This window comes from Homo sapiens, chromosome 2 (genome assembly GCF_000001405.40).
Source record: "Homo sapiens chromosome 2, GRCh38.p14 Primary Assembly".
Classification (NCBI taxonomy): Eukaryota; Metazoa; Chordata; class Mammalia; order Primates; family Hominidae; genus Homo; species Homo sapiens.
This window is the reverse complement of record NC_000002.12, coordinates 26,229,081-26,250,779: the sequence shown is the minus strand read 5'-3', so window position 1 is coordinate 26,250,779 and position 21,699 is coordinate 26,229,081. Positions and strand designations below refer to the sequence as shown.

The 21,699-nt window shown below is 41.7% G+C and overlaps 2 protein-coding genes across 5 annotated transcripts in view, besides 4 other annotated features; one reads left to right on the top strand and one right to left on the bottom strand.

Moving 5' to 3' along the window:
• The window catches only part of HADHB (hydroxyacyl-CoA dehydrogenase trifunctional multienzyme complex subunit beta), a 45,527-nt gene extending 39,686 nt beyond the window's left edge, over positions 1-5,841 (bottom strand). For 3 of the 4 annotated variants that reach the window (NM_001281513.2, NM_000183.3, NM_001281512.2), the window contains exon 1: positions 5,790-5,841. The gene's annotated coding sequence lies outside the window, so the exon portion shown is untranslated. Of the gene's footprint in view, positions 1-5,640 lie in introns of all 4 variants that reach the window. The other variant, XM_011532803.2, reaches the window with a different exon arrangement.
• Positions 4,086-4,813: an enhancer, noted in NCBI's record as "H3K4me1 hESC enhancer chr2:26468835-26469562 (GRCh37/hg19 assembly coordinates)". NCBI's record gives its function as "activates a minimal SCP1, AML or CMV promoter by ChIP-STARR-seq in primed H9 embryonic stem cells {active_cell/tissue: H9 hESC(primed)}" and the evidence as "EXISTENCE:reporter gene assay evidence [ECO:0000049][PMID:30033119]".
• Positions 5,626-6,306: an enhancer, noted in NCBI's record as "H3K27ac hESC enhancer chr2:26467342-26468022 (GRCh37/hg19 assembly coordinates)". NCBI's record gives its function as "activates a minimal SCP1, AML or CMV promoter by ChIP-STARR-seq in primed H9 embryonic stem cells {active_cell/tissue: H9 hESC(primed)}" and the evidence as "EXISTENCE:reporter gene assay evidence [ECO:0000049][PMID:30033119]".
• Positions 5,672-5,771: an enhancer, noted in NCBI's record as "active region_15469". NCBI's record gives its function as "activates an Ori minimal core promoter by ATAC-STARR-seq in GM12878 lymphoblastoid cells {active_cell/tissue: GM12878}" and the evidence as "EXISTENCE:reporter gene assay evidence [ECO:0000049][PMID:35858748]".
• Positions 6,148-21,699, top strand: part of HADHA (hydroxyacyl-CoA dehydrogenase trifunctional multienzyme complex subunit alpha) — a 53,998-nt gene continuing 38,446 nt past the window's right edge. The window contains exons 1-7 of the mRNA NM_000182.5: positions 6,148-6,250; positions 11,637-11,678; positions 11,776-11,846; positions 13,792-13,925; positions 16,425-16,563; positions 18,501-18,620; positions 20,486-20,588. Of these exons, the coding sequence (NP_000173.2) occupies positions 6,184-6,250; positions 11,637-11,678; positions 11,776-11,846; positions 13,792-13,925; positions 16,425-16,563; positions 18,501-18,620; positions 20,486-20,588 (676 nt within the window). The 5' untranslated portion in view covers positions 6,148-6,183. The remainder of the gene's footprint in view (positions 6,251-11,636; positions 11,679-11,775; positions 11,847-13,791; positions 13,926-16,424; positions 16,564-18,500; positions 18,621-20,485; positions 20,589-21,699) is intronic.
• Positions 7,792-8,332: an enhancer, noted in NCBI's record as "H3K27ac hESC enhancer chr2:26465316-26465856 (GRCh37/hg19 assembly coordinates)". NCBI's record gives its function as "activates a minimal SCP1, AML or CMV promoter by ChIP-STARR-seq in primed H9 embryonic stem cells {active_cell/tissue: H9 hESC(primed)}" and the evidence as "EXISTENCE:reporter gene assay evidence [ECO:0000049][PMID:30033119]".

The window sequence follows — 21,699 nt, the reverse complement described above, 5'->3', positions numbered from 1 at the left end:
GTATGATCATAGGTCACTGCAATCTGGAACTCCTGGGCTCAAGGGATCCTCCTGCTTCAGCCTCCTGAGTAGCTTAGACTACAGGCACATGCCACCATGCCTGGCTAATTAAAAAAAAAAAAAAAAACTTTAGAGACAGGCTAGTCTCAAACTCCTAGCCTCAAGTAATCCTCCTACCTCGGCCTCCCAACATGCTGGGATTACAAGCATGAGCCACCATATCCAGCCTCAGAGAATATTTTTATCACTTAGATGGAGAAGGGATTTCAACATATGGCACAAAACCCAGAAGTACAACAGAAAATAATAACTAATAGATCTGATCATATAAACATTCAAAATATACACATAGTAAAATATACTAAAATCAAGTTAAAAGGCAAATAGATTCAGAGAAAATATTTGTAACATGTAAAACAGAAAAGGGTTGATACCCATAATCCATAAAGAACTTGTACAAATTATAAGAAAAATAAGGCCAGGCGCAGTGGCTCATGCCTATAATCCCAGCATTTTGGGACGCCCAGGCAGGTGGATCACCTGAGGTTGGGAGTTCAAGACCAGCCTGACCAACATAGAGAAAGCCCATCTCTAATAAAAATACAAAATTAGCCAGGCCTGGTGGCACATGCCTGTAAGCCAGCTACTTGGGAACTGAGGCAGGAAAATCGCTTGAACCCGGGAGGCGGAGGTTGCAGTGAGCCAAGATCATACTATTGCACTCCAGCCTGGGCGACAGAGCGAGACTCCATCTCCAAAAAAAGAAAGAAAAAGAAAAACAGAAACAATCTATCATGGAATCTGTAGTTTGTACTCTAATATCCATTCCACCCAAATGTAGCTGCTGTATGTGGCTTACATGGGATTGAATCCAGCCCAACTCCAGGGTTTAAACCAATCAGAATAATCTCATTCTCTCTGCCAAGATCATTGATTCAGGTACCAAGGCCTCAAACAACCATGCACGGCATTGCCTTGACCACTGGTATTGATTTGTGGATGGTTTCATCAGTTTAACACTCAAGTCTTCTGCCTATAATTCTGGAACACAAATCTTTCCTTCTGAGGCCTGGCATGGCTACAGCAATTTGCAAACATTAACAAAGCTAGGCTAAGATAGAGCTAACACCAAACAAGCAGAAGAGTACGGAGCTGAGAATTCTGGAAAAAGAAGAGTCCTGGCCGAATCCCATCTGAAACCCAACCTCTCATTGTGCTTTTCAGTTCTGTGAGCCAATAAATCTCCTTTATTTATTTATTTATTTTTTTGAGACGGAGTCTCACTCTGTCGCCCAGGCTGGAGTACAGCGGCGCGATCTTGGCTCACTGCAACCTCTGCCTCCTGGGTTCAAGCAATTCTCCTGCCTCAGCCTCCCGAGTAACTGGGACTACAGGCGCACACCACCATACCAGGCTAATTTTTTTTATTTTAGTAGAGACAGGATTTCACCGTGTTGATCAGGCTGGTCTCGAACTCCTGAGCCTCCCAAAGTGCTAGGATTACAGGCGTGAGCCACCACGCCCGGACTAATAAATCCCCTTTAAGAAGCCAATTTGATTTGAATTTTCTGTTATTTGCAACTGAAAGACTCCTTCCTGATACATGACCAAAAGCAAGAATGAGAAAACAAGCCATTCACAGAAGAAATTAAAATGCCAAATAAACAAAATGTATAATGTTCAACCTCACTAACAAAAAGTTGTGATTTTCTTTTTTTTTTTGAGACAAAGTCTCACTCTTGTCCCCCAGGTTGGAGTGCAATGGCGCGATCTCGGCTCACTGCAACCTCCACCTCCTGGGTTCAAGCGATTCTCCTGCCTCAGCCTCCCGAGTAGCTGAGACTCCAGGCACGTGCCACCACGCCTGTCTAATTTTTGTATTTTTAGCAGAGATGGGGTTTCACCATGTTGGCCAGGCTGGTCTTGAACTCCTGACCTCAGGTGATCCGCCCGCCTCTGCCTCCCAAAGTGCTGGGATTACAGGCATGAGCCACTGCGCCCAGCCTTTTTGTTGTTGTTGTTGTTGTTTTTTAAATCAAAGCAAGGTATCATTTTGTGGTTTTCAGATTGGCAAACATTGAAAATATGGTTAATATATAATTCTAGTAAGAATGCATCTAACTAAATAGGCACTTCCATACACTAGAAGACATGTAAAATGCTAAGGCCTTTTGGGATGACAATTTTGTAGTTATAGATCAGAATTTAAAATGTGAATTTTTGAGTCCAATAATGCCTTTTATTGGTCTCTAACCTATAGAAATATTCAAAATGTATGTATAGCATATATAGGTCTCTAGCGTAAAATACTCAAGGTGGGCCAGGGGTGGTGGCTTACGCCACTGAACTCCAGCCTAGGAGACAGAACGAGACTCCGTCTCAAAAAAAAAAAAAGAAATACTCAAGGTGTTCACTATAGCACTGTTTATATTTGTGGAAAACCGTAACTAATCTAAATGCACATCAGTAGGAAACAGTTAAGTAAGTTATAGTATAAACACACCATGGAATACTGTTTGGCAGTTTGGAAAAGAAAATGAAACAAAATGATGTACATGTATATATACTGACATGGAAAAATGTCCATAATATATATTAAATGAAAAAGCAAGCTACAGAACAATGTGTATTAGAAATTAGAATAATAGATTAGAATAACTGGAAAATAGGGAAATGGGTAAGTAAACCCTACTACAACAACCATTTTGTGACAGAAAGAGAGAAAGAGAAAAGAAAGTCCCTGAAGCTATGAGTCTAGACATGGAAGGATAAAGAAAGGCTTTTATTTAATATTCTTCTGTTCTCTTTAATTTTTTTAAAATAAGCATTTTACTTATGCATAATTCTAGTTTTATTTAAAATCTATATATACTGTTGTTCCTCAGTATCCAAGGGGGATTGGTTCCAGAACCCCCCTCAGATACCAAACCTCAAGGATGCTCAAGTCCTTTACATAAAATGGCATAGTATTTATTTGCAAAGAACCTACACACATCCTCATGCATACTCTAAATCATCTCTAGACTACTTACAATACCGAATGCAATGTAAATCTATGTAAATAGTCGTTATGCTGTATCGTTTAGGGAATAATGATGAGAAAAAAAGTCTGTACATGTTCAGGACAAATGAAACCACTGTAGGCCTAACTACATTTTCACTCAGACATTGGTTGAATCTGAGGATGTAGAACTCACAGATACCAAGGGCCGACTGTACATCAATATCTTATATAAATATATACAAATATACAAATGCATTTTAAAAAGTCCAGAAAAATACACATCAAAATGTTAAAAGTAGTTATCTCCGGGTGGTGGAATTACAGATTTTCTTTAGACTTTTCTGTAGTTTCTGAATAAAAAATTACATGGAATATGTATTCCTTCAATAGTTAATAAAAAATAGAGATTTCAAAAGTAAGAGGGACTAAGCAAATTATCCTATAGCAGAGCTGACCTTTCTGTCATTTGCTAAACTTCAGAAAACAGAAATTTTGGTAAAAATATTCAAAGCATGGAAACTCCAGGGTAGGGTAGGGTAGGATCGAGTTGGTTAGGGTAAGCCTGAGTAAGGTGTGAACTATGGAAAGATACACGAAGCTGCAGGCACCTGGGAGCAAGGGAAAGGAAGAAGAGTCTAGGCAAGTAATGAAAACAAAAGCAAGATGGGGTGGCTCTAACAGCTCATTATTACAACTTTGAAACACAACGTAATGGTTAAGAGAACTAAAGCCAGACTATGTCCAAATCCTGATTCACCCTAGCTGTATGACTTTAAGCCAGTTACTTAACCACATAGGACGCGCACGCGCACACACACACACGCACGCACACCCACGTGCACACACCACTTAAAACAGTGCTTGATACACAGTTAGGGGTATACCTGTGTTTGCTATTACCAGTAGAGATGGTGATACAAATGTACTGTTTCCCTCTATATAAACCATTGGACTAAAGTGCTTAGGGATCAAAGAAACATTATAACATTTCTGCCCTGATGGAGCTTAGTTTTGTAGAGAAAGCACAGGGAGCAAAAAAATGGAGCCAAATGAGTGATCTAAATCAGGGATTGGCAAACTACAACACACGGGCCTCTAGCTAAAAATAGTTTTTCACATTTTTAAAGAGTTGTAAGGTCGGGCGTGGTGGCTCACACTTGTAATCCCAGCACTTTGGGGGGCAGAGGTGGGCGAATCACCTAAGGTCAGGAGTTCGGGACCAGGCTGGCTAACATGGTGAAACCCCGTCTCTACTAAAAATACAAAAAATTAGCCCGGCGTGGTGGTGTGCGCTTGTAATCCCAGCTACTCGGGAGCCTGAGGCAGGAGAATCACTTGAACCCGGGAGGAGGCTGCAGTGAGCCAAGATCGCGCCACTGCACTCCAGCCTGGACAACAAGAGCAAAACTGTCTCAAAAAAAAAAAAAAGTTGTAAACAAAACAAAACAAAAGAAACAATATATAACAGAGACCAAAGTGATCCTGCAAATCCTGAACTATTTACTGTCTGGACCTTTAACAACAACAACAAAATTTACCACTTCTGACCTAAATAATAAGTGTTACACGCAGTTAGGTGTTGAAGAAAGCATTACATGGGCAGGAGGCAGGCTCTGAACTGTAAAAACCTTGTAAGATTATCAAGAATCCTTTTTGCAATTTATTCAGAAGTGGTCAGGTCATCCAGTTTCTGCTTAAAGTGCTCACATGATGAGCACTCACTATGCAACTTGAGCTTTAAACAGAAACCTCTCTACTCTGTCTCTATACTCATTTCAGTCTTAACTTCGATGCCCCTTGTTTCCTGTCCTGCAGAGCTGTCAGTCTGGCGAGTAGTGAGACTCAGACTTATGTCTGAATGCTAGGTCTGTCACAGACTAGAAAATGTATATATTCTGAGCTTCCCAAACTTCATCTAGAAAATGCAAATGATAATAATTTGGGGAATGTGAGGACTAAACAAAAAGGTATGAAGGTGACCAGAGCACAGCAGGCTCTCAATGTGACTTCCTTTTGAAATCAATCACTTTATTCCAGGACTCCAGCCCATCATTCCAGCACAAAAACAGCTACCATGCAATGAAGAACTCTTCACTAGGAGTTAGTAGACTTAGGCTCCAGTCTTATTTCTACTACATATGGCCATGGGTAAAATCACTCTCTCTGATTCGTAGGCAGTTTCTTCACCGCTTAAGTGAGCTGAGGTGTGAACGACCAGATAGATAATCATCCAGATCGGAAAACCCCCGAGAGCGCAGGATTATCTGGATAACGGAGCCGGATGGAGGATTGTCTCCGTTCCTCCCACACTCAAGCCCCGAAAGGTCACCTGACCTAGTCTTATTCTTTACAGCAGAAATCGGGCAAACCCATGGCGCCGTCCACAATCTCTATAGCCGCCGACCTGGGTACAGGGGAAGCAGGCGAAACAACACACACTTCTACGCAGACCAGGGTTACATTAAGGCCGACGCCCACACACGCCCACACACACCCACACACACACACACACCCCCACACCCCCAGACTTCGTTAACTTGTGATGATAAATTAGGGCGCAGGTGACACTACTGTCCCGAACTTCAGCTGGAACGCTAGTCCAAGTCACTGTCCTAACTGCAGCTAGCACTGCCGACCTTGTCCGAGGAGTTTCCTTCCGCTCCCTCAACTCCCACTTTCCCAGGGAGGGGAGGGGGCCGGGGGCACCGGCGACAGTTGCGGGGAAGGAAGTGGAATCTCGCCTTTGGGAAAGCCCGGGCGGAGAGCTGAGGGCTCGCCGTCTCACCTTGGCTGACGTCCGCGAGGACTCCCTCTCGGAGCAAGGTTCAGGTCCAAGTACCAAGGCTCTGCGGGACCAAGGGGCGGGTCCTGCCCAGAAAGGGCCCCTCACCCCGCGGGCGGTCAGGGCCGTTCTTGAGGGCTGCCCTCCGGCCGCCTGACTGGAAAACCAGGCACTCCACCCCCTCCTCTCCGGGCCCCCGTCCTCCCCCGGAGAATACGACCTTTCGGCCATGTTAGCCAGGAGCGAGGGGCAGGGCTAAGGGGCCGGCGGCCACTCGGCATCTGGGTTTTAGTCAGGCAGTGCTCCAGGCGCCTGGCTGCCAGGCTACGGGAGAAAAGTCCTCCGCTCGGCCGCACCCGTTAGAGGCGCTCTCCACTGCTGTCCTCTTCAGCTCAAGATGGTGGCCTGCCGGGCGATTGGCATCCTCAGCCGCTTTTCTGCCTTCAGGATCCTCCGCTCCCGAGGTGAGGCCTGGCCGAGGGCATCCCAGACCTCCGGGCAGAACTCCTGCCGGGACTGGGGTGGCCCCGGAGCCGCGTCTCCCTTTCGCTGCCGCCTGCCCCAGCCCGGAGACGCAGCCCTCTGTGGGGATACTGCCCTGGGACCCGGTTTCCCGTGACCTTCTGAAGAGACTGTCACTTCCCCTCTCACGACTCCTGCGGCGATTTCAGGCTTCCTAACTCCCCAACTTTCTGAGTCTGGTGCCACTCGTTCTGTCACCTTTCCGCGGGTCTCTTGCGTCGCACTTCTGGGCTCACGCCCCTCATATTTTCTTGATCCGGAGTTCCAGGAGAATCGGGATCCATTCTGTCGCATCTTTGTGGCTCCACAGCACCTTGCCCCGCAACAAGAGCTGTCTTAAAAACAGCACCTTACCCCGCAACAAGCGCTGTCTTGTATGGGATTAATCAGCCTTGCAGATCACTGCCCCTCCCTGCTCCGTTCCCTCAAAACCATTTTTGTGCTTACTACCCCAATCAAGTAGGGAGCTCAACTCTTGCAGTTTCAGTAATGTCAGTGTGAACGTATAGTATTTTGAATTTCAGCGGGAAGTTCTGCAACTTACTGGAAGACACACTTTAAAAATACGCTAATACCTCTACCTTAAGCAATAAAATGTTAGATCGTTCTGAGAACGATTTGTAATCTGATGATTCCCAGTCAGCCTGTATTAGCTAGTGTTTTTCCTTTTCAAACTGGCAGTGAAAGGGTTAAAGTGGGTGGTTGTAGGAAACGTTGCATTTTCTTTCCATCCCAAATCTGTAAAGTCAAAAGTGGACAACGTTTTATTGCATGTTGTGCTTAATAAGTTACTTAACTAGAAATTTTAACTTTTAATTTAATTTGTAATATGAATTACCTCTCTTCCCTCTTCCGGAACCGCTGAAGTAGTATGCTTTTTTTAGACAAGTAGCTGAAATCCCTTACTGTAAGGGGATTTTTTTAATGATTGAATATTTTTCTGCTCCCTTTTTTCAACAGCTGTTTTTAGTCTCCACAAAACTGTAGCATGTATTTGCCAATTATAACATAAGCACATTATAGAACATTGAAATGCTGTAAGGATTGAGGAAAGAGATGAAAAAAAAACGAATCACCCATTGTCTTACTACTCATATGCTTACCTACGGTTAGCCTTCGGTTATGTTTCCTTACAGGTTTGGTGGTTTTTTTCCCCTATTTTCACAACACTTTTGAAAAGTAACGTGTAATTTTTATCTTACCCCTGCATTGGTTTGAAGGTATTTCTTATGGATCGGCAGCTGATGTCACTCGGAAGTGGTAGCCAGGGCACGTGGTTCTAGTCACTAGCTGTGTTACTTTGGACAAATGCCTTAAACTAAATGGGCTTTATTTTCCTCATCTGCAAAATGAATGATTGAGATGATGGATTTCCTTTGCATGAGAAGTAGCATGACAGAGCAATTAATAAACATTGTTTGGGCCGGGTGCGGTGGCTCACGCCTGTAATCCCAGCACTTTGGGAGGCCCAGGCGGGCGGATCACGAGGTCGGGAGATCGAGACCATCCTGGCTAACACGGTGAAACCCCGTCTCTACTAAAAATACAAGAAATTAGCCGGACGTGTTGGTGGGCGCCTGTAGTCCCAGCTACTCGGGAGGCTGAGGCAGGAGAATGGCGTGAGCCCGGGAGGCGGAGCTTGCAGTGAGCCGAGATCGCGCCACAGCACTCCAGCCTGGTCCTCCGTCTCAAAAACAAACAAACAAACAAAAAAAACATTGTTTGGAGTCTGACTTCTGGGTTTGGACCTGGCTCTGCCTTTTACCCTCTGATGACCTTGGGCAATTAATTTCTGTGTTTGTTTTCTCATTTGTAAAATGGGGAATAATACCACCTTGTGTGATGAAAAGGAGTTATTTTAGATATCAAGCAGTTTTTCATGGAGTAAGCACTCAGTAAATATTATTAACTCCAGCCTGGAAGAAATACGATTGTATATATCTGAGAGTTTTTAAAAGTAATTTGTACATCTTATGTGTGTAATAAAAAGCTACCAACCTAATTTTTCTGTTTTCTGTATAGAAATATATAGACACATAAATATATACTTTGCATTGTGTTTTCACCAGTAAGAAAGTATCATTCGTTGTAGTTACTGATCCCTTAATAGCAATTTATAAATTTTGAAAAAAAGTCTGGAAAGTGAATTTAAAATGACCTGCACCCTTATATTACTATTTAGACTCAATAGATCCTTCACAGTAAAAGTCTGTGCAAGGCTTTGCCAAACATTTAATGAGATTATGACCTTTGCTGGTGGATGATAAAATTCTCTTGAAAGGGGCCAGGCACGGTGGCTCATGCCTATAATCCCAGTATATTGGGAGGCCAAGGCGGGCAGATCACTTGAGGTCTAGCCTGGCCCACATGGTGAAACCCCATCTCTACCAAAAAATACCAGAATTGGCCAGGTGTGGTGGCACACGTCTGTAATCCCAACTACTCGGGAGGCTGAGGTGGGAGAATCGCTTGAACCCAGGAGGTGGAGGTTGCAGTGAGCCAAGATCACACCTGGAGGACAGAATGAGACCATATCTCAAAAAAAAAAAAATTATCTTGAAGGAGACTTGTAATTCTTGAAATTTTAAAGCATTCCTTCTCTACAAGTGCTATAATTCTGAATGTGAATATCAAATGAAAATCACTTCTTGACCAGAGTATGTTGTCTAATTCCCACTCCTATCCTAAATCTAAATTCCTAATTAGGTATTTAGTAGTAAATAGGTATTAGTAGTAAAATAATTTCACAGGAGATGAATTTAGAGGCAAATACCTTAATAGATGGTTTTTTTGTTTGTTTGTTTTTTCGGTTTTTTTTTTGGAGACGGAGTCTCACTGTGTCACCCAGCCTGGAGTGCAATGGTGCGCTCTTGGCTCACTGCAACCTCCGCCTCCCGGGTTCAAGTGATTCTCCTGTCTCAGCCTCCAGAGTAGCTGGGATTACAGGCTCCTGCCACCACGCCCAGCTAACTTTTTTTTTGTTTTTTTTTTTTTGTTGTTGTTGTTGTATTTTTAGTAGAGACGGGGTTTCGCCATGTCAGCCAGGCTGGTCTCTAACTCCCGACCTCAGGTGATCCAGCCACCTCAGCCTCCCAAAGTGCTGGGATTACAGGCGTGAGCCACCGCGCCCGGCCATAGATTGTGTATTTTTAAATTTGATTCTCACTTCCTTAATCTCGTCGCTTCTCCCAGTGTTGAATCTTGAGAAAAGCTGTTGATTATTACAACCAAAGTAATGTTTTCAAATTTGAAATTTATGTTAGCATAATCCAGCTCTCTTCGCTGACTGTAGTCTTATGAGGTTTTGTAGTTATTCTTGGGTTACATTACAAAGATGATTAAAAAGTGGGGCAAAGGTTTCTCTCTACTTTGCTGGCACAGTAGATGTAGGCTAAAGTTCACTCAGCTGCCATAGGGTAAGCTCTGCAGTTAGGTAGTGAGTAAGGCTAGACTCCAAAAGCAAAGCTACCTTGCAGTGTGACTTGATTTGGTTGACTCTGGTTTGGAATTATTTTCGAAGTATGTTCATGTATATACTGGTTTTCTATTTGTTTCTATTTGTCTTGATCTTGGAGAGGTTTTGTGTATGAGTGTGTGGGCAGCATAGGTAGGTTAGTGGACAGGAGTTAAAATGGTTTAAACTGTTGGCTAATGACCACTAACCTGTTATCTCAAATATTTGATCTTTAAAACTGCAACCCAGTGGGGCATAGTGGCACATGCCTGTAATCCTAGCTACTCCGGAAGATTACTTGAGCCCAGGAGTTCAAGACCAGCCTGGGCAACATAGGGAGACCTCGTCTCAAAGAAAAAAAATGTTTTTGAAATATTGCAACCCATGCTCACTCTATTTCCTTTTTTTGCTTAGGTGCTTATTTTCTAACATATTTGTGTTTCTTGGTTTTTCCCTCTCAACCTGCATTCCCAATCAGTTCATTCCCACTCTAATCCACTTTACCCTGTTTTGCTAGAATTACCTATCCCCTTCTTCCCTTCCCACTGGAATTTCTACTTTGCAGGAAAACTTTTTCTATGCCAGGCCTATTTTCACTTTTCATTTATCTTCACTGAGTAGGAACTGATTCTTCCCAGATATCATATCCCCTGCTGACCTGGAATGTAAGCTCCACCAAGACAGGGATTTTTGTCTTTTTTGTTCACCCTGAATGTCCTGCTGTACTCCAAGTGCCTAGAACAGTGAATGGCACATGGAGGTCACAATATATGTTTTTGTTGAATGAATAACAGATTATGTTGGAAAAGATTACAATGTGGTTGGTGAAACACCTGCTACAGATGCAGCAGTTAGAGGACAGAACATTAAATAATAAAATAAAAATGCAGGCAAGGAAAGGAAGGATCACTGTAGACAGAATCCGAAGATGAGGTTTTGTGGAAAAGAGTGGAGTCATGATGCAAATATAAAGAAGGAAGAGTGGTAAATACAGATGACACAGATTTCAAATGATGGAAAAGCAAAGCAGGAAACATACTATTAGTCAAGTAGAGGCACTGGGGATTGAGGAGATGGCTGGCTTCTCCCATCTTAAAACACTGAAGTTCACTTGTAAGAGACTTGTTCACAGTCACACAGCTAGTAAATAAACCTGATGGTTGAACACAAGTCCTTTGCCTTTGCACTAAGTCGGCTGGCTTGGATTGCTTAAAGAAGAAATGCAGGCAGAACCTGAAATCACCCCATTCTGCTTCTGGTGCTAACCACAGTTTTCTTTCTTTTTTTTTTTTTAATGTGTCACCTTGCCTTTCCAACCAGTATAAAGCTGCTATTTTTTGTGCCTTCTCTTCCCTTTCCATAAGGAACTGGGGGATAAAGAGAAAATACGGAGGCAGCAAGAGCCTTGGCAACCTACTGATGATCCTCCCCTATTCCACTCCACCTTCACTGGGTTCTCCAGTCAGTAGTTCCCATGTGCCTCTTACATTGCTATCTCTTTGGTTCTCTTTGCTTCCCTCTTCCCTTTTGTGATTACACTGGGCCCACCTGGATAATCCATGATAAACTTTCTTTATTAAGGCCAACTGATTAGCAACTTTAATCCCCCCTTTGCCGTGTAACCTAACATATTCACAGGTTCTGGGGATGTATATCCCTTTGTGGGGGCCAGTCTTCCTCTTTTAGTATCCAAATAATCATCTGACCTAACAACTGAAATGGAAAAAATATGGCAGTAGTCATATGGCCTAGAATACATTGTACAGATTTGGGGTTTTTGTTGTTGTTATTATTGTAAATTACAGCTTTGTTATATATAAAAGGTACTACAGAAATTGTTTCGCAAATTAATTTTGAAATGTCTTTTCTTACAGGTTATATATGCCGCAATTTTACAGGGTCTTCTGCTTTGCTGAGTAAGTTTAATTTCTTTTTAATGTGTATGCTTACATTGCTTTTTGGATTTATGTTGCAATAAATATGTTTACAAATAAATCTTTCTTTTCTTTTTAGCCAGAACCCATATTAACTATGGAGTCAAAGGGGATGTGGCAGTTGTTCGAATTAACTCTCCCAATTCAAAGGTATCTCATTTAATTTGCAGTTTTTTTCTGCTAACCGCATTATGAATCTAGTCCTGAATGGGAAAGATGTATCCCATATTTCCCCAAATCTACCAATCTGGCAGTAATCTTACATGAATTTACAGTTTTGACAGTTATGTTAAACTTTGACAGATTGCCAAGGGAGCCAGTTTTCTAAAGCAGAGGTTCTTGCGTAAGAATTCCTCTTGTTGACCTTAGGTGCCACCAGCCTCCTGGTTATAGTGTAGAATGAGGAGGTGACTTATTAGAGAAGAACCAGAGTACAAGCTTTGTTTATAAGACTCAAAATTTGCCTACCCATCTTAAATATGAGGTTGTTAATCCATTTTCTTCATTACTTGCCTGACATAAGTCACTATTCATAGTAAGTTGGCTGAGTGAAATGTGGATACTTGGCTCTTAAGCTTCCTGAGGGATCTGAATGACTCAATGCAATTCACATATTGGAAATCAAGTTCTGTTCGAATTGAAACTTCTTTTGTTTTTGGCAGCTTCAATAAAGTGTGTAACAGTAATCCATTCTTTTGCCAAGAAGAGCTTTATTGTGAGAGTCCATGCTTTTCCCCCATCTAAATTTGGTGTATTCTTACTTTAAAAATCTTGTAGCCAGGCTGGGCACTGTGGCTCACACCTATAATCCCAACACTGGATGGCCGAGGCAGGAGGATCACTTCAGCCCAGGAGTTTGAGACCACCCTGGGCAACATAGCAAGACCTTGTCTCTATAAAAAATAAAAAATAGTTGGGTATGGTGATGTTCACCTGTAGTGCTAGCTACTCTGAAGGCTGAGGTGGAAAGATCACTTAAGCCTAGGAATTCAAGGTTACAGTGAGCTATGATTGCACCACTGCACTCCAGCCTGGGCCACAGAGCAAGACCTTGTCTCTCTAAAAAACAACAACAACAAACTTATAGCCAGAGGCTTAGATGTAATAAGACCTAGATGGAAGCAGTTGACAACTATCACAAATTAAGGTAAATAAGAGCCATTCCCCTTTACTAGAGTAAATTTTAGCACTCACTAACCAATGATTCAAGCTTAAGATATTTTTTCAGAATTTTCTTAGGTTGGACATTTTTCCTGAACACAAAAGTAATATATGTCAATGGTAGAAAATTTTTCAACTATAAAAAATTATAAAGAAGAAAATAATAAACATTCATAATTCAAACCTAAAGATAACCACATCTTTTTCTTGGTATCTTCCATGGGATAATCACATTTAATTCAGTTTCAATGAATAATATTTACAAAACTAAGATCATACTATATGGTTTTTTTTGAAGATAGGGTCTCATTCTGTTGCCTAGGCTGGAGTGCAGTGGCACAGTCACAGGTTAGTGCAGCTTCAGCCTCCCCAGGCTCAGGTGATCCTCCCACCTAAGCCTCCTGAGTAGCTGGGACTATAGGCGTGTGCTGTCAGGCCCGGCTAATTTTTGTATTTTCTGTAGAGGCAAGGTTCCATTATGTTGCCCAGGCTGGTCTCGAACTCCTGAACTCAAGTGATCCGCCCACCTTGGCCTCCCAAAGTGCAGGGATTACAGGGATGAGCCACCATGCCTGGCCTATATGTCTTATTTGTATTTCATTTTTTTCTTAACATTATGCAGATTTTTTCCATGCCAATAAATGTTTGTAGACCTATTTGTTTATAGCCTACATATGATTCAAACTCTGAGGATGACCCTGAGTTTCTCCTTTGAGAAGACCTATTTTTAAAGGAAGGGGTGCTTGTAGTGGGCCAAAGCTGCCTGAATAGAAAGCTACTGACTTGCTGGGAGAATGATATTTCTTACTCTCTTCTAACAGTATATTTCTGCCGGATAAGTATATTTCTTATAATCAAAATAGCATTTGATGGTGGTACGTACATCCAGTGCTTCAAATTTAAACCCTTACCTGTATATATTTCCCTTTGGCAGGTAAATACACTGAGTAAAGAGCTACATTCAGAGTTCTCAGAAGTTATGAATGAAATCTGGGCTAGTGATCAAATCAGAAGTGCCGTCCTTATCTCATCAAAGCCAGGCTGCTTTATTGCAGGTGCTGATATCAAGTAAGTTTTAGGAAACTTGAAGTCACCTTTTATCTTGGTTAATAGTGTGTTTCTTAGGCCTAATAATTTCTCCTTTTAAAAGAAAGTAGAAGTGCTGGGCACAGTGACACAGGCCTGTAAAATTGAAAATGTACGTATCAGGCTGGGTGTGGTGGTTCTTGCCTGTAATCCCAGCACTTTGGGAGGCCGAGGCAGGTGGATCACATGAGGCCAAGAGCTCAAGACCAGCCTGGCCAACATGGTGAAACCCTGTCTCCACTAAAAATACAAAAATTAGGCATGGTGGCACACGCTTGTAATCTCAGCTACTCAGGAGGCTGTGGCACGAAAATCCCTTGAACCTGGGAGGCAGAGGTTGCAGTGAGCCGAGATCACACCACTGCACTCCAGCCTGGGTGACAGAGTGAGACTGTCTTAAAAAAAAAAAGTATATACACACACACACACACACACACACACACACACACACACACAGAGTATATATATATATATATACACACACACACACACACACATCATGTGATCTAGAGAAATCTCACCCCTTGTTTATAAGAACCAGTGTACAAGGATGTTTGGTCCTGTGTAGTGTGAAATAATGAAGAATTTAAAACCAAATGTCAGTCAGTAGGAAAATGGGTAAGTAAAATGTGGACTATTCACACAATAGAATACTACAAAACAGGTAAAAGGAATTAACTAGATCCACAATATGATGTTAGAACTCAAAAACATAAGGTTAAGTTAAAAGAAAAGCAAATTGCAGAATGTTTCATACAGTATATAGTTTCTATAAATGTTTTAAAACCAAACATGGAATAATTCTTGATACTATTTATGGACACAATCGTAGTTGGTCTGGAAGGAGACACTACAAACATGAAGATGGCTGCTTTGGGGAAATGAAGTGGGTGGTAGGACTTGATTGTTAAAGGCAGCTTTACAGATGCAGCTAGTATTTTCTTTTCCTCTGCTAAATGGTGGAATGCATGCCTACATTAACTTATTTACAATTGTTTACACATACATAAGGAGGGGAAATGATATTTTAGTGTCAGTTTAATAGGTTAAAATGTTAAGTTGTCAATTCCATTAAAATATGGGTATTTGTTATGTTCTTTGTATTTTAGACAATGATAGCCAGCATTGTAGGTTTAGTAATTTGTACTGAAAGTGTAATTATTTATGTGTAGTAATCAGTCTCTTGTTAGGCACAAATAATTCAGCTAGAAGAAAAACCACTTGATAAGATAATTTTGGGTCTTCTAAAAAATTAACATTAAACAGAACATTTATAAAGTCTAACAAGACACTGATGTACCTGGCAGTAGCTACCTATATCCAGAGGAAAATACATGTAGCTTCTATGAGGCCAGCTGAGCAACTCTCAGTGTATAAAATTACAGAATATACTAGTTATCCTTGGTCAAAAGTACAAAATCCATATCCTAAGTGTGTTCACAAAATAGCAAATGAAACAAACTGAAATTAAAGGACATTGAGTGGAACATCATTGCACCTGATCATTTTTATTTACTTATTTATTTTTGAGACGGAGTCTCCCTCTGCTGTCCAGGCTGGAGTACAGTGGTGCGATCTCGGCCCACTGCAACCTCCACCTCCCAGGTTCCAGTGATTCTCTCGCCTCAGCCTCCCGAGTAGCCAGGACTACAGGAATGCAGCACCACGCCCAGCTAATTTTTGTATTTTTAGTAGAGACGCGGTTTCACCATGTTGACCAGCCTGGTCTCGAACTCCTGACCTCAGGTGATCCACCTGCCTTGGCCTCTCAAAGTGCTGGGATTACAGGCATGAGCCACCATGCCTGGCCTACCTGGTCATTTTTATTCATTAGTGGGATCTGTTAAAATGTTTTAGATTTCTCTAAACAACCTGGAAGCTTTTCTTTTGCGTCATTTTTATTGCTGTTAACTACCTGATAGTGAAATGTTTAATCTGATAGTGAAGTAATTTACCAAAGATGATTTTCCCTTGTACCAAGCTTTGTAATTTAATGATTTATTACAGAAGTAAAAATAAATTATGCAACACATTTATGTTTTCTGGATCCAGAATTTTTTTTTTTTTTTTTGAGACAGAGTCTCACTCTGTCGCCCAGGCTGGAGTGCAGTGGCGCGATCTCGGCTCACTGCAAGCTCCACCTCCCGGTTTCACACTGTTCTCCTGCCTCAGCCTCCCAAGTAGCTGGGACTACAGGCGCCCGCCACTATGCCCAGCTAATTTTTTGTATTTTTAGTAGAGACGGGGTTTCACCGTGTTAGCCGGGATGGTCTCATGGATCCAGAAGTTTAACACTCTTTATGGAGAAATGATGTTGCTGCTATTGTGCTATTTGAAGCAAAATCATTCTTAACCTTCTATTTGAAGATTTGTCATCAAATATTGATGCATGATAGGATAAGTGTATAGTGAATAAGTATTGAACCAAATAAATTATAGTTTTATCTTTTTCTCTGTTCTCTACTTTTATGGATAATGCAGCATGTTAGCCGCTTGCAAGACCCTTCAAGAAGTAACACAGCTATCACAAGAAGCACAGAGAATAGTTGAGAAACTTGAAAAGTCCACAAAGCCTATTGTGGCTGCCATCAATGGATCCTGCCTGGGAGGAGGACTTGAGGTATAGATATTCTAAAGTTATTGAGACACTGTCCAACTCATTGGTGGCATTCATCAGCTGTAAACCCTTAGGCTACTGCTTTGCCTGGAAAAAGTTTCTGGAGGAGAATCCGCTTTGTTTTTTGTTTTTTGCTTTGAGACGGAATTTTGCTCTTGTCTCCCAGGCTGGAGAGCAATGGCACGATCTTGGCTCACTGCAACCTCTGCCTCCTGGCTTCAAACAATTCTCCTGCTTCAGCCTCCCCAGTAGCTGGGATTACAGGTGTGCATCACCATGCCCAGCTAATTTTTGTATTTTTAGTAGAGATGGGGTTTCACCATGTTGGCCAGGCTGGTCTCAAACTCCTGACCTCAGGTGATCCTCCCGCCTCGGCCTCCCAAAGTGCTGGGATTACAGGTGTGAGCCACTGTGCCTAAATAGCTTTGTTTTTAGTTATCAAACTTCTGGATAGGTGTTAATCCTTAATCCACATGACACAGAGCAAGTGGCACAAAGCAAGTAAATGAAGGTGTGATGTTTTCATTTGAACTGCATCTCTAATGTCCTTTTCAGCTGTAAAAATCTTGTTCAAGTTTGCAGGGCAAAGATTCAGAAGTGTGATCTAGGCTCTTAAGCTACTTAAGTCTGGTTGAGACACATAAAGCATAATATAAGTGCTTTGTCAGTAGTAAAGACGGTAAATAATAGAAGATTTGAGAGAAGAGATGCTTACTAGACCCGAACATGTAGGAAAGAAAAGAAGGGGAAAAGGAAACATTCATTGAGCACTTTTCACATGCTGAACTCTGTGCCAGACACTTTCACATATGCAGTCATTTACCACATAACGTTTCAATGACCAATTGCACATACAGCAGTGGTTCTATAAGACTGTAACACTACATTTTTCTATACCTTTTCTGTGTTTAGATACAGAAATGCTTATCACTGTGCCACAGTTGCCTACAGTATTCAATAGTCACATGCAGTCCAGGTTTGTAGCCCCTTAGGACAGGGGTCCCCAGTTCCCAGGCCATAGCCTGTTAGGAACTGGGCCCCACAGCAGGAGGTGAGCAGTGGGCGAGTGAACATTACCACCTGAGTTCCGCCTCCTGTCATATCAACAGTGGCATTAGATTCTCATAAGAGCTGGAACCCTGTTGTGAACTGCACATGAGAGGGATCCAGGTTGCGCACTCCATTGGCCTCTATTGCCTGATGATTTGAAGTGGAACAGTTTCATCCTGAAACCACTCCCTCCCACCCCACCCCCAGTTCTTGGAAAAATTGCCTTTCACAAAACCTGTCCCTGGCGTCAAAAAGGTTGGGGACTGCTGGACTAGGAGCAATAGGCTATCCCATATAGCCTAGATGTGTAGCAGGCTCTGCCATCTGGGTTTGTGTAAGTACACTCTGCGATGTTCACACAACAACAAAATTTCCTAATGGTACATTTCTCAGAACATATCCCCCTCATTATGTGACACATGACTATATTAATTAAGAAAACCTGTGCCTGGTCCTAAACTATAAGCAGAATTTGATTAACCAGAATATGGAGGGAAAAACAATTCCGCATATGGTATGGTGTGAGCAAAGGCAAAAGCAAAGCCAACTAGGACACTGTAAGTAGACGTGCTTGATTGGAGAGTCCGGGGCTTTTTAACCTGGGGTCCATATAAAATTGTGTGTGCATTTTTCTCTTGAGAGCTTCTCTAGCTTTCAGTAGATTTTTTAGGAGATCTACGGCCCAAAAAGAGGTTAGTAAATTAGAGGAAAAGTATGAAAAAAAGGCTAAAAAGGTAAATTCTAGAAATTATTAAATGCCAGCCTAAGGAATTTCAGTTTATTCTGTGAGCACATTCCTGCTTTATAAATAATCTTTAGACCCTTATCCATCTCAAGTTGCTACTAAGTTACATTTTCTAACATTCTAATTTTCTTTCATTTGTTCAAAGGTTGCCATTTCATGCCAATACAGAATAGCAACAAAAGACAGAAAAACAGTATTAGGTACCCCTGAAGTTTTGCTGGGGGCCTTACCAGGAGCAGGAGGCACACAAAGGCTGCCCAAAATGGTGAGTCTAACATCCCCTTTGTGAAGCTATATGCCCTCTTTAGATCTGTTTTCTTGTATAAAATGCATAATATGGGCATTCATTGTAGAATTAAAAAACCAAATAAAATATGAGTGTACAGGATCAGTGACAGACTTTATTCCTGGTACTTATTTTTTCAATTCCACAGATTTTTTTTTTTTTTTTTTTTTGAGACAAAATCTTGCTCTGTAGCCCAGGCTAGAGTGCAGTGGTGTGATCTCAGCTCACTGCAACCTTCTCCTCCCAGGTTCAAGCGATTCTCCTGCCTCAGCCTCCCCAGTAGCTGGAATTACAGGCGTGCACCACTGCACCCAGCTAATTTTTTATATTTTTTAGTAGAGATGGAGTTTCGCCATGTTGGCCAGGCTGGTCTTGAACTCCCGACCTCAGGTAATCCTCCCGCCTCAGCCTCCCAAAGTGCTAGGACTACAGGCATGAACCACCATGCCTGGCCTAATTCCACAGAATTATTGATCAAGGTCCTTTGTTAGTCTCTGAGGAAGGATAAAGATAACTAAGATGCATGTCTTGCATTTCTGGAGCTTATGGTTTAATTGGTTCCTTTTCCACATAATACCATCTTAACAGTTTTTCAAAACCATGAGTCATATTAATATTTCATTACAAATATAAGAGGCAGACCTTTTCCCTCATTGTCTGATTTGGATGTTCTCACTGCTGTGTTGTATGGAACCAAAAGAGGCTCAGCAGGCTTTGAATTCCAAGGAGAAGGGAAGGACAGTCAGACCTGGATGCTGCAGAGCAATCTTAATGTCAACTCAAGGGCCCACTGAACCTTATAGCTTCTGGCACTGTAGATTCCTCAGTGAAAACAAGGCTCAACAGAAATACTCTTTGCAGGGAAGTTGATCTCAATTGAGCACAAAAGAAAACAAGGTTTATGGTGTTAATTTTCTAATAATAATAATGTGCTTTCCTTCATAGGAATGTCATAAGGATTTATTGAAAGAATGAATATGCATATATGTGTATCAAAAATATTTGCTGAGTTTCTTTCTTTCTTCTTTTTTTTTTCTTAAACTATAGCTGGTATTTGAATGTTGCTAGAAGCCTTTCTTCTAGTATGCCATATAAGCAGCCCTAGCTGAGTTCTATTTTTGTTAAGCTTAAAATTCTTTTTAAAGACTTTGTCAAAACTATCAGGTTTCTCACAGTCTTCTCTAGTTTCAATATGAGAATTTTATTTTATTTTATTTTTGGGACAGAGTCACTTTTGTTGTTCAGGCTGGAGTACAGTGGCATGATCTCGGCTCACTGCAACCTCTGCCTCCGGATTCAAGCAATTCTTGTGCCTCAGCCTCCCAAGTAGCTGGAATGACAGGTGTGCCCCACCATGCCCAGCTAATTTTTTGTATTTTTAGTAAAGACAGGGTTTCACCATGTCGGGCCAGGCTGGTCTCAAACTCCTAACCTCAGGTGACCCGCCTGCCTTGGCCTCCCAAAGTGCTGGAATTACAGGTGTGAGCCACCGTGCCTGGCCAGAATTTTACATATTATATATATGATAGAAAAAAACCCCTCAGAATAACAGAAATGTACAATTTTAGGAAACATGAAATTCTTTACCTTATTAGTATAAGAATCCTATATATTGAATTAAGAGATAAAGACATTTTTGCTTCAGCTAGAGGTATCTAATCCCCAAAGTTACCCAAGTGTATATCAGTATATTAAATATAACTTATCTATGCTGTTGACAAATAGCATAAACATATGGCTTGACTTTTCTCATTTTAATATTTGTTCATTTGATGATTTGTAAACTATATAATTATCACCCTGATTTTTTTCCCCCTATATTCTCATCCTTGCTTGCCTGTTAGGTGGGTGTGCCTGCTGCTTTGGACATGATGCTGACTGGTAGAAGCATTCGTGCAGACAGGGCAAAGAAAATGGGACTGGTTGACCAACTGGTGGAACCCCTGGGTAAGTGTTAGCACATCTCAGAGTCAGACCTTATAAAGTTACTTATTTTCTTAAAGAGTTAACCTCTTAGGCCAGGCACGGTGGCTCACACCTGTAATCCCAGCACTTTGGGAGGCTGAGGCGGGAAGATCACTTGAGGTCAGGAGTTTGAGACCAGCCTTGCCAACATGGCGAAACCCTGTCTCCACTAAAAATGATTAGCCGGGTGTGGTGGTGCAAACCTGTAGTTCCAGCTACTTGGGAGGCTGAGGCAGGAGGATCGCTTGAACCTGGCGGGGCTGAGGTTGCAGTGAGCCAAGATCATGCCATTGTGCTCCAGCCTGGGCAACAGAGCCAGACTCCCATCTCAAAAGAAAAAACAGTTAACCTCTTGAATATCACAGGAAGCACAGAGAGAAGCTCAAACTCTTAAGAAATGAGTCATTATTCTAAGGAAGGAAGTTTTATAAAATAGCTAATACTAAATCATTTTCAACATCACCCTGATTTTTATTTTGCTTTATAATTAGAACATTAGGAGTACAGAATTCAGTCAAGTCATTATTTTTGGTTCTTAAATTACCTGTATCATTATCCATGCATAACCTTCCTTCAGTTTCTTGTGTCTGTTTTAGTAATATAATAAATGAAACAACCAACCTGAGAATATTAACAATAATTGATATCTACTGATGGGCTACTTCCTCCCATTCAGTTTCTTTGCCTCCCTTTATCCAAAGAAGCCACTATTCTGACTTGTGTGTTCATTACCCTCTTATATTTATTGAAAATCAGCATTATTGAGATATTACTTACATAATAGTAAATGTATTAATTTTGTGTGTGTGTGTGTGTGTGTGTGTGCGCGCGCACACATGTTGGGGTCTCACTCTGTTGCTCAGACTGGAATATGGTGGTGTGAATATAGCTTGTTGCAACCTCAACTTTTTGGGCTCAAATGATCTTCCCACTTGTGCCCCCCGAGTAGCTGAGACCACAGGCATACGCTGCTACACCAGCTAATTTTTTATTTTTTGTAGAAACGAGATCTCACTCTGTTTTCCAGGCTAGTCTCAAACTCCGGGCTCAAGTAATCCTCCTCCCTCAGCCACCCAAAGTGCCGAGATTTACA